Source organism: Homo sapiens, chromosome 1 (assembly GCF_000001405.40).
Source record: "Homo sapiens chromosome 1, GRCh38.p14 Primary Assembly".
Taxonomy (NCBI): domain Eukaryota; kingdom Metazoa; phylum Chordata; class Mammalia; order Primates; family Hominidae; genus Homo; species Homo sapiens.
This window is the reverse complement of record NC_000001.11, coordinates 96,740,981-96,753,571: the sequence shown is the minus strand read 5'-3', so window position 1 is coordinate 96,753,571 and position 12,591 is coordinate 96,740,981. Positions and strand designations below refer to the sequence as shown.

The window sequence follows — 12,591 nt, the reverse complement described above, 5'->3', positions numbered from 1 at the left end:
CTGCACATCACTTGTAATTTTTGATGGTATACTAGATATTATGGAAGATAGTTGCAGGAAAACTATATCATGTCTTTCTTGGGGGTGTTGTTTTGTTTTGGAAGGCAACTAAATTACTGATTAATCCTTCATCAGTTACTGGTTAGATTAACTGGTGAATCCTTCACTTCCTATCGGGCTAGGTTTCTGGTTTTTATCTCAGTCTTATAGATGGCACTTCCTATAGGGTGTGATCCTTTCTATTCAGGTCCAGGCTTTCTGTAGTCTAAATGGAGTGTTTGAAGTACCCTGCAATATGTCTGCATTCTGACTTCTCAGAACTCCAATGTTTCAGAGTACCGTGCAACCTATGGAATCACCATTTAGCCCCAGAGCAGACAATTTCTGACAGACCTGGCAAAGCCTCAACCTGCACACATGTAACCAAGTCATTATCCAAAACTGTGAATGAAGTGAAATGACCATACTAAATTCTGCCCCCTGCTCTATTCCTAAACCCCTAGACAGCTCTCTTTTCTCCAGGACTTCTCCATAAATTCCAAATGATTGGGCAGCCCTGACACCCACTCTTGGTCTCTTCAGCTCAGTGAGACCTGTATACTCTGGGCTCTCCACTTCTCTGTGGTTTAGAGCAGTAAAATAGTCCAAGACAGAAAGCCAGAGTGTTCATGATACTTACCTCACGTGTACCCCTTCTCTCAAGGATGATCTTATACCGTCTGCTCATCACTTCCAAACAACAGTTGTTCCACGTATTTTATTCAGTTACATACTTTTTGGTTTTGGGGGGAGACTGAAAAAGGGGCCAAGGCTGCTACTAGTTACTCTGTCACTAGCCCTAAATATTTGGAAATTAATTCCAAATTAATTTCCCATTATCGATCACAGTATGCATTGTAAAAACAAAAAGAGAAACCGACAAACCAGAGTTACACACTTCTGCCTATTTGTTCAATTATGTGTACATGGTACTTTGACTATCAAAATCAAGGCCCAGTGATTTTGCTTTGTAATCATTACATAGCAAAATCAATGATAATGACCTGTTGACAAATTTATCTTCACATCATGACTATTATCTGTTAAGTCCTTATAATTTTTAGTTAACTGAATTGTCAGAGATGTGTGTTTGTGTTTGTGTGTGTCAAGATGTATGTATACATTAAGCACAGCTACCTAAGGGAAATCAAAATGTCTTCTAGTCTTTCATGATCCTTTTATTGCCAAATATAATTTGTTCTTCAAGCAAATAATTCAAAGTTAAAATACAGAAAAAGGAACTTTGGTTTCAGGTAAATAATGTAAAATGTGGAGTTGTGAGGTAAATTCATTTGATAATAATAATAATCAAATTCAAAATTTGGCCCATTCAGATGAGAACACGTCAATTCAAGCAAAACTAAACAAAATACAAAAAAAAATTTGGCCCATCAGCCATAAAACTAAGGTCTAAAATTTGGTCTATATTGTTTTACTGACAGATGCTACAAACAACATTATTTCAGACATATACAATTTTTTTTAACTCTAACTTTGAAGATTAAAACAAATCATCTTAAATATGCAGGTAGACAACATAAAAGGATCAACTCAGAATTAAAATACTGTTTCAGCAAAAAATTAGTTAAAACCATAGCAACTATGGTTGCAATGGTTTTAAACAACTATGTAGCTGAATTCTTCGGTTTTTACTTAAAATTTGGGTTTTAGGGTTTGTGGCATAAATACTTAAAGTAAAAATATTATATGACACACAAACACAAAAAATAAAAACAAAATAAAAATACCAGAGGGGCAGATGAAGGGACTATAATGTGAGACAGAATTACATTTGTGGTTCAAAAATGAAAAGCAATCAAATTTAAGAGTAACTTGTTCACCAAAGTTACCAGCTTCAGGTTTTTTTTTTTTTTCCACTCGGCTCATATATACTTTAGTAAAATTTACTCTAAAATGTTTCAACACGCATTTAAAAAGAAAGGCTTTCCTGGTATAACAGGGTTAAATTTGAGTTTTAACATTCTGCCCCCTAAAATGGCAAATGACAGACTGCTAAGAGAGTAACACTTACCTGTAACTACCATGCTGCTCATATTAGAGTTCGGACTACTGAGAACACTGCCTGAGAGTAGTTCGTCAGATCCTCTCTATGAAAACAAAAACAAATTAGCATAAGACATCTTTAAATTTAAAAATATTAATCTAAAAGCCTTTCACTTAAATGTCAAATGTTACACTATTGGGAATAGTTAAAAATGTTAATCCCTATAATAAAAAATTAACTTCATCCCTCTACTCTCCCATCTATCCCTCTCCCATTCTCACAAAGGCAACAGTGTTCCCTTCCCTTCTTTACTCTAAGCCCAAAAGACAATAAATAGAAAAAGTGATTAGATTCTATAAGCAAAAGCTTTGGAAAGCTATCTCAATTGTTTACAAACAAACCAAAGCCACAACAGCTAGACTTTCTCAGAAACGTTCTATAAATCCTCCATCCCAATGGTCCTTTATTCATCCAGATAATTCAGGTCTTTAGAAAATTAGAACTTCATTCTGGTGAGTTAGATATCAATATCTTCATCATTATTAAAATTAAACAGGTATATACTTCAGTGGCTAGAACACCGAAAGCAAAGGCAAAATCTTTGGAATGAAGAGATTTCTTTCTGCAAAAAAATAAGGTCATGTCTTAAAATTCTTTACAGAAAAGGTTATACATTCATCTCTTCGGTAACTGCACAGTTGTTCAAACCAGCCAGTGACATTTTAGCTATTTTGAAAATGTTATGTACTTACAAAAATATGAATGGACTAATATTTAAACTAGCTAAAATCAACTGTTTTGCCTTAGTTATGGATATTTACATACATGGATATTAGTATTGAAAATAGGTTAAATTAATACTGGCTGATTTAAAAAATCAGTACAAAGAAGTTAAATGCAACCATCAAAATGAAAAAAATGTGCAAAGGAGGCAATGAATTATCAAAGCATTTCAGAAAGTCCAAAAAATCCAAATTAACCATAAGCTTTACGCTAATTTGTATTTAAACTCATAATGAATAAACTGTATTACAACAAATATGAGAAGAGTAAACAGATATCCATAGGTTGTCTCCCTTAAATATTTTAAGAGCTTTCTACTTATTAGCATCAAATGCACAAAGAAAAAAAAAAACAGAAAAATACAACCAGTTTCAAGCCACATTGATACTGTATTTACACCAAGCCTAATTTCTTAACCAATTTCTAATCAAGATATGGAAGATCTGGCATGGCATAGTTTTATAAGAACATGATGAGCAGAATTGTATACATTACTGATTCTCACAGTGTAGTCCCTAAGATCTAATTGAATACTCTAATCATTCTCAAAGTGTGGTCCCTAATCCTAAGATTAGACCTGGAAGCTTACTGACAGTATATGTTCTCAGGTCCAATCCCAGACCTACTGAATAAGAAACTCTGAGGGTGGGATCTAAAAACCCCAGGTTTAAAAAAAAAAATCCCCAAGTGTTTCTGATGCATGCTAAAGTTTAAGAACCACTGATACACATTATTGGCTCATTATCAACACAGAAAATGTTTCCTAGCTTTCTTCATGTTTTCATGACAAGTAGAAAATACTGTATTAAGAAAGGGTGCTCTGGAGCTCAGCTTCCACTTATCAGTTAGGTAACAGTACTTAATCATTCTAAGCCTGAAGTTCTTTATTTGTAAAACAGGGATAACATCTACATCACAGCCCTTAGGATTAAATTATACACGAACAGTGATTACCAGGCAAAGTGCCTGGCTCACATCAGTAGTGCTCACTACAATATTCCCAAGTGTCAACCAAGTACAATGTCCCCACATATTTATTGACTAAGTAAGTGAATTACGTTATTAACTGTTACATATTTTTTGGCCTTTGTTCTCAGACCAAAAAAACTGAAGGTCAAGTTACTCCACATACAAAATCAAAGTTTGCCCCTCCCACAGGATAGAGAAATAAAGCCAGCTCTTCCATAAATCCACAGAAGTCCAGATCAGATATTCTAAAAGTAAGAAACAAAAACAAAACTTAAGTGATGCTTAAAGTTTTACTCACCTGAACAAAATTCCTAATCAAGTAAAATATTGTCAATGCCTTATTTGTTCCTTAGTTCACAAAAACACTTTAACTCTCCTAGTTTTCAAAAATATACTTGACCTCTTTTCAAATGTATTATTATCAGCTTATTCTTCTGATGTTTGACTATTTGTGAATTCAAATCCTTCCATACACCTAGAGTATACACACTGTAAAACTTGTGATTGCAGTGGATCACAAGTAACTTTGGAAGACGATAGGTGGGGAATCTTGGGTCTACTCAAGTAGAAAAGCAAGCCTCTAATACTGACTTGTGGTGTGCTATGAAGGACACTCTTCCTCCTTCCTGCAATGCATCTTTTTGCATGGAAAAGTCTTTCCATTTTTTTTTAAGTTTGTATTTATGAACTTTTTTCTTCCTCAAATGATTTCATACCTGCCGTTAAGAGAGGAGATTTAACAGCCTTCATTACTGAGAATAACGTCAAATTATTTGCAATTTTGAGATTTTACAAAAATTACTGGAGTATTTTTACAAATTACATTTTTATTTGAAAAAAGCAATTATGCCTGTCTTTGCATTGAGCAAAAAGCTTACCACTATTATGCCCAAAAGAAGTGATTCAGCACTACTGATAAATGTTAACATTACCACATTAACTGACAGAATAATTTCATCTGAATTATTTCAGCCTGGTCATTTAACTTACAATGTATATGAAATAAATGATCAATGGTAGTGATTGATGACTGCCCCACATTAATGACTGTTGAAACAAATCAAATTAGTGGTACTTAGAATCAAAATACTAAAGAATACATGCTCTTTAAAAAATTTTTAATTAATCTAAGAATGATATCAATTTTAGATTCAACTAAAAGAAATTAAATGTTAAGACTAGCATAGATATCTCTTATTAAATCTGACCACAGAAACTTTTCTTCCTGAGTAATATCAATGACCATTTCAAGAGAAACTAACATCCCACAGAAACAAGAAAATTCAGAAATAGGAAGATACACTCTACACGTCAGAGAAAGAAACCACTTAAAAAAAAATGTGCAAAAGCAAGTACAGATTAAAGGCCATTTAGCACTCATTTCAATGTTACAAATTTCTTGTTTTTTATTCTCATGGTTATTAGATACTCTGTTTATCATAATAGTCTAGTCCAACTATTAATACCATGTATCACTTTCAGGTGGAAGAGCTGCCAGGTCTGCGAAGAAGGCAACCAAGGACTGAAGGCTGAGGGTGACAAGAGTCTCTGGGCTCTGCTATGGTTTGGGACTGAGAACTAACCAAACATTTTCTCCTGTGGAGATGGCAGCCTAGGGAACCATGACAGAAAGACACCGGGCAAGGACACAAATATTAAGTTCCTGAGGAAAAATAGATTATCAGAGAGGAAGAAAGGTACGTACCCAGGTGAGTATTCCTGGTCTCCTTAAACAGAGGTGCCACCAAGATGATGAAGAAGTGGACTGAATACCACCTACCTATTAAAGACTTGCAAAAGCCCTGACTCACGCAACCAATAAAAATAGAGAAAACAATGGTACAATGAAGAGGATCAGTAAAATCAAAAGCTGACTTTAAAAAAAAAAGACAATGAAATACACAAATACAGGGAAAACTTTTTTTTTAAACAAGGAGAAGAGCACAATCACACATCAACAGACCACATAGCCAAGAACAAAAGCCTAGGGATCAGTGAAGCAACAATATGAAAGAAACTTGGCCCAGTGAATAACCTTATGGAGCAGACTGATACCACTTTCTTATACCAACAGGACTTCTGCTATGACAGAAAAAGAAACAAAAAAACTCTTTTATTTATGCCACCATATTCTGCATTTTGTTATGATAGTTTTTTCAGCCTTTGCCTTACGATATATATACCTGTAATATGAAAAAGTCATTACAGAGATTTCAATTTAATTGACTATCTTAATAAGGGCAAAAAAATGAAACCAGATCCCTACTAAATACAATACACAAAAATAATTTTCTGATAAATATAAAAAGCAAAATTTTTTAAAATTTCAGAAGAAAATATAGTATCTTTATGAACTCTGAGTATGTAAGGATTTTTAAATTAAGACACAAGAAAACTGAACATGAAAGAAAATACTGATAAATTCTACTACAAAAATCTCTATAAGAAACCGTATCACAGCAACAGTTGAAAAGCTAAAAACTGTTATTTGGGATTGCCTTCAAGACTTCCAGCAATCAACATGGAAGATGTCCAGAAGAGCAAAGGAAAATTTGGAATGTGTAAAGAATGGGATCATATAAATTATTTTTATCTAAGATGCAAAGGGAATTTGTGGCCACATTAAAACTATACATTAAGAATCTGTATTAATCCGCAACAATATGCACTGGGAACTAGTGGTGGGGGGAGGGAGAAAGGATTGTAAATCTAACTGTTGGGTACTGAGCTCACTCTCTGGCTGACAGGATCACTTGTATTGCAAACCTCAGCTTCATGCCATATACCCATGTAACAAACCTGCACATGTAACCCTGAATCTAAAGTAAAGTAGGAAGGAAGGAAGGAAGGAAGGAAGGAAGGGAGGGAGGGAGGGAGGGAGGGAGGGAGGGAGGGAGGGAGGGACAGACGGACGGAGGGAGGGGGAGGGAGGGAGGGAGACAGACAGACAGACAGACAAGACAGCATAAAGAAGTGACAAGGCAAGCTACAAACTGGGAAAAGACACCAGCAACACAAATAACCAAAAGACAATCAGTAACTGTAAAACACACACTTTTTTTTTTTTTTTTTTCAGACAAAGTCTTGCTCTGTCACCAAGCTAGAGTGCAATGGAACGATCATAGCTCACTGCAGCCTCAAACTCCTGGGCCCCACAAGCAATCCTCCTCCTTCAGCCTCCCAAAAAGCTGAGATTACAGACGCAAGCCACCGCCCCCAGCAATTTTTTAAAACTACAAAATCAGTTAAATAATAAGCTCACATTTTATCAAGCAAAAAACACAAATAGGCATTTAACAGAATTTCACAAAAGAGAAACATCCATGGCCATAAATGTGGGGGGAAAAAAGATGTAAGACCTCATTAATAATCAGGGTAAGACAAAGGAAGACCAGAGAATATACTACACACCAAATTGTTAAAAATTAAGAAATTAAATACCTAGCCAAGTGCTGGTGGGGATCTGAAACAGCAAGAACTCCTACGCACTACTGGTGAGAACATAAATAGGAACAATACACTGGAAAATAATCTAGTACTGTCTCATAAAGTTTATTTTACACACTAGTAATATATACCTATACCTTTAAATATACCCTCTCAAAAACGCTTGCATAAATGCACCAGGAAACAAGTACAAAGAAGTTCACAGCAGTATTGTTCTTAAAGTCAAAATCTTTTTTTGTTGTTGTTTTTTTTTGTTTGTTTTTGAGATGGAGTCTCAGTCTGTCACACAGGCTGGAGTGTAATGGCGCGGTCTCAGCTCACTGCAACCTCCGCCTCCTGGGTTCAAGCGATTCTCCTGTCTCAGCCTCCTGAGTAGCTGGGACTACAGGCACCCACCACCATACCCCGCTAATTATGGTATTTTTAGTAGAGATGGGGGTTTCACTATGTTGGCCAGGCTGGTCTCAAACTCCTGACCTTGTGATCTGCCCGCCCTGGCCTCCCAAAGTGCTGGGATTACAAGCTTGAGCCACCACGCCCGGCCTAAGTCAAAATCTTTAAATATTCAAATGTCCATCAACCCAAATGTCCAATAAAAGATAAAATGGGTATTTTCACAAAAGAGTATATCACAGCAATGAGTATTATAAAACTATCCAAAAAATACGGCTATTTATTAGAATCATTATTGAATTAAAACACAAGACATGGAAAACATTATATAGGCATACCGTTTCCATAAACTAAAAAAAAACTAAATATATTTTTGTCATTTACATGAAAAATCCATATTGAAAAAATAAGGCAAAAGTTGTGGCAGCCACCTACCCATGGCAGGGTAAGAAGGGGGATTAAAAAGCAATATTGGGCTGGGCGCAGTAGCTCACACCTATAATCCCAGCACTTTGGGAGGCCGAGGCAGACGGATCACGAGGTCATGAGATCAAAACCATCCTGGCTAACAGGGTGAAACCCCGTCTCTACTAAAAATTCAAAAAATTAGCCGGGTGTGGTGGCGGGTGCCTGAAGTCCCAGCTACTCGGGAGGCTGAGGCAGGAGAATGGGGTGAACCAGGGAGGCGAAGCTTGCTGTGAGCCGAGATGACACCACTGCACTCCAGCGTGGGTATCAGAGCAAGACTCTAAAAAAAAAAAAGCAATATTGCTGCATATGGAATATACAATAGTATTGGTAACATTCAAGTTTTTTTATTTGAGTGACAGGTTCATGATGTTCATTTTCTTATATTTCATAACATTCTCACAAATAAACTTTGATTAATATAACAAAAAAGATTCTAGGGAGAAAACTATAAGGATAAGGTGATCAGGTATTTTGTCACCCAAAATGGGATACATTTGTGAGAGGACAATTACACCTGAAAACAGACATAAAACATGACAATAAGAAACCTGAATAAGAAAGAATAACAATCAGAACGTTTAAATAAGACATTTAAGTAAAACCGGGCATGTTATAATAATCATTTTTATCATAATTTAGTAAGTATAAAGGCTTTGCTAACAAGTGGAAATAGTAAAAGAATGATCAAACCATAATCAAAATGGTAGATTAAGATGATCACATTATTTTATAAACAATGTACACAAAAAGTAAGAATAAGGATAATTTAAAGAACTTAAGACACTACATAGATAGCCAATACTATCACCTACAAGAAAGATAAGATGCTCTCTGAAAGACTACAAATGATTTTTAATACATGACATACTAAATGACACTTCCCACAAATAAAGCTATCCCTAAGTTATGGTTGTTTTGCTAGCTAATCTTCACTGATCAAGACATAAGACGTGGAGAGCTAGTATTCTGGTCTTCTGTTCTATGTAATAAGACATTTTTTAAAATAGCATTTATTGCATATTTTAATACAGGTATATATACAACAGGGGGACTCATGGACTATAATCTTTCTCCCCAGATAACCCCATTGACATTTTCTACGTTAAAAAAATTCAAACATTAACTGAGAAAATTAAAAAATATATATATATGTAAAGAAGTTCTCGTTTACTTTTATTAATTATCCTGAATTTTCATACAACTCTTTTCCTCAAACTTACATATATACATGGTTTTGTTTTTAGATGGAATCTCAGTCTGTTGCCCAGGCTGGAGTGCAGTGGCGCAATCTCGGCTCGCTGCAACCTCTGTCTCCCGGGTTCAAGTAATTTTTCTGCCTCAGCCTCCCCAGGTTCAAGCAATTTTTCTGCCTCAGCCTCCCGAGTAGCTGGGACTATAGGCGCGTGCAACAACAAAGGGCTAATTTTTGTATTTTTAGTAGAGACGGGGTTTCACCACATTTTATTTTTAGTAGAGCCAGGCTGGTCTCAAGCTCCTGACCTTGTGATCCAACCACCTTGGCCTCCCAAAATGCTGGGATTACAGGCTTTAGCCACCGTGTTTTTAACATTCATACAAAATAAAAACCCACACAACACACACACCATACAAGCTGCTTAGCATTGTTCTCTTTTCATTTAATAAAACAGCTTAGAAATTTAAAAAAAAGAAGAATGATTACTGCAATACACTAGAAAATAAATGTTATTAAACTCTTTGCTGTTGCGACGATACTAACAGCAACAAAAAGGAACTCATATTGATTATACTGGAGGTTTTAGGGTAACAACTCATCAGAAAACTTAAGAAGTCAAATTCTCTCCTGCTTTTCTTATAAAAAGGTACTTACGTATGACCAAACAGTTGATGGATATAATTCTTAAGAATTCTAATATACACAGAAAAAAAGAATAGCGCCACTTTTGCAATACCTAATAAAAGTATGCAATCATTAGCTACTAAAAACTATTAGGTGAAAGGATGATGCGCTCTGTAATAGATGGAGCAAGCTGACATACAACAGGAATTACATAGAGTACATCTGCAAAATATTCTTGGTAAAAATTACACCAGAGTCTGATCAAACCCCTGTATTTCAGGTAAACTTGTTTACATGAAGAACATATGAAATGACAACACAGCGGTACAATCAGCAGAATCCAGAAAGTGGAATTTTTTTTTTTTTTTTAAGACGGAGTCTTGCTCTGTCACCCAGGCTGGAGTCCAGTGGCGCCACTGCAAGCTCCGCCTCCCGGGTTCACACCATTCTCCTGCCTCAGCCTCCCGAGTAGCTGGGACTACAGGTGCCCCCCACCACGCCTGGCTAATTTTTTCGTATTTTTAGTAGAGACAGGTTTTCACTGTGTTAGCCAAAATGGTCTTGATCTCCTGACCTCGTGATCTGCCCGCCTCAGCCTCCCGAAGTGCTGGGATTACAGGCGTGAGCCACCACGCCCAGCCAGAAAGTGGAAATTGTACAGATGACTCACTTTATCTAACAACAACAAAAAAGAAAAGGCAAGAAAAATAAAATAATGAAAAGAAAGTATTCTGAATACTGGAGATTAGACGACATTAAGAAATTATTTTAAACTTTATAATGGTACCAATGTCACATTTAATAGAGAGACACACATTCTGATATATCTGCAGATTATATGAAATGATCTGAGATTTGCATTAATATTATCCAACAGAAAAAAGTGTATTATATACCATTCCCTCTACTTTTGTGTAGCTTAAAACCTTTAAATGAAGTTTACAATAAAAAGAGAACTCTAAAAGTAAAAAAAAAAAAAAAAAGCCAAAGCTATCAGCTGATTACCTTTAACCTTGAATGCATTTTAAAAGAAAATAAAGGAGTTCAGGATCAAATTAAAGTGAATCCCTCCACTGCCCCCAACAAAAAAGAAAACAAGTAAAAAGGTTGGTTCTTTGAAAAGACCAGTAAAATAAATTCTGTGACAAGACAAATCAAGAAATAGGAGAAAACATAGGTGCTTGATATTAGTAATAAAAGAGAGAATTCAAAAATGCTATACAATTCTGAGAAATTTGAAGCTTTCAATAAAACAGTTTTCTAGGAACGTACTCAATAAACCAATAATTTTAGAAATATTGAAATATTAGTCCAAGTATCCCTGTTCCCTCATCCCTTACATATAAGCTGTTTAAAATCCTTTTAATATATTTTCTGCATTAAGCATGTCTCTTAGGGAAAATACCATGAAGAAGAAAGTGGAAAATTCTTCAAAGAAATGTTATAGTTCTCTGCCTTTCAGCTCAAAAAAAATTGCCATTTTATTTTGATAATGCAGCTATAATGTTCTCCCAATTAACTACTAAATTTAAGGCAAGTATAAATAAGACCCAAAGAGCCTTCACAGAACTTAGCCAAATGATCTTAAAATAAATGCAGTGAAGAAAACACCAAGACAATTTTGAAAAACAAAGTTTTGACACTCACTGTACAAGATTCCAAAACTTAATGCTGATGCCATAAGTAATTAAGACACTGTTGTACTGCTACAAGACATAGCACAGAAATGGTTCTGTGAATATACGGAAACCTGAAGAGCTGAGAAAGCAGATCATTGGAGAAAAGCTGAGCTATTCAATCAAGTACATACTAAGCTTGCTATCCATATAGAAAAAATAATTAAACCTGTAACATATGCTACACAAAGAATAAATTCCAGGTAGATTAACGCCATAAATGTGAAAATCAAAATTTTAAAACTTTCAAAATAAAATACACAAGCCTATACGTAAGGCCTTAGGTTAAATGTTTTTTTAAAAGAAAAACATAAATGTCCCATTAAAATTTACAACTATTCATCAGTGTAAAAAAAACAGGTCAGAGAGAGGAGAGAGTTATCTGTAGGACATGTAACTAACAAAACAGGCCAGGCACAGCGACTCACGCCTGTAATCTCAGCACTTTAGGAGGCCAATGCGGGAGAACTGCTTGAGCCTGGGAGTTCGCAACAAACCTGGGTAATACAGTGAGACTCCATCTCTACAAAAAAATTGAAAAATTAGCTGGGCATAGTGGTGTATTCCTGTAGTCCCAGCTACTCAGGAAACAAAGGTGAGAGAATTGCTAGAGCCTGGGATGTCAAGACTGCAGTGACTGTGACCGAGCCACTGCACTCCAGCCTGGATGACACAGTGAGACTCTGTCTCTCAAAACAAAAACAAAAATGAAACAAAACAAAACAAACAAACCAAAAAAAATAACAAAACAATTAGTCTGCACAGTATATAAAAACTCCCAGGAATCAATGTTTTTTTTTTTTTGCATTAATAGGGAATGCAAATTAAAACCACAAGATATCCTTCCCATGTACATTTGATCAGCAAAATTAAAAAGTCCAACAATGCCGATTTTCAAAGAATGTATAGAAACAAGAATCTACATGCAGCGCTAACAGTATAATTAATATAATTACCTATGAAAGCAATATGTTAATATTCAATCGATT

General features: G+C 35.4%; 1 protein-coding gene across 16 annotated transcripts in view; it reads right to left on the bottom strand.

The window, feature by feature from the left end:
• The window catches only part of PTBP2 (polypyrimidine tract binding protein 2), a 101,956-nt gene that overhangs the window by 70,168 nt on the left and 19,197 nt on the right, over positions 1-12,591 (bottom strand). For 13 of the 16 annotated variants that reach the window (NR_125357.2, NR_125356.1, XM_011541876.3 and 10 more), the window contains exon 3: positions 2,072-2,147. The exons of 1 other annotated variant lie outside the window; for it this stretch is intronic. Coding sequence is in view for 13 of the 15 variants with exons in the window: in XM_011541876.3 (XP_011540178.1) it covers positions 2,072-2,147 (76 nt within the window). In the remaining 2 variants the exon portion in view is untranslated. Of the gene's footprint in view, positions 1-2,071; positions 2,148-3,885; positions 4,053-12,591 lie in introns of those variants that run through there. 2 more of the 16 variants (NM_001300987.2, XM_017001951.2) reach the window with 2 other exon arrangements.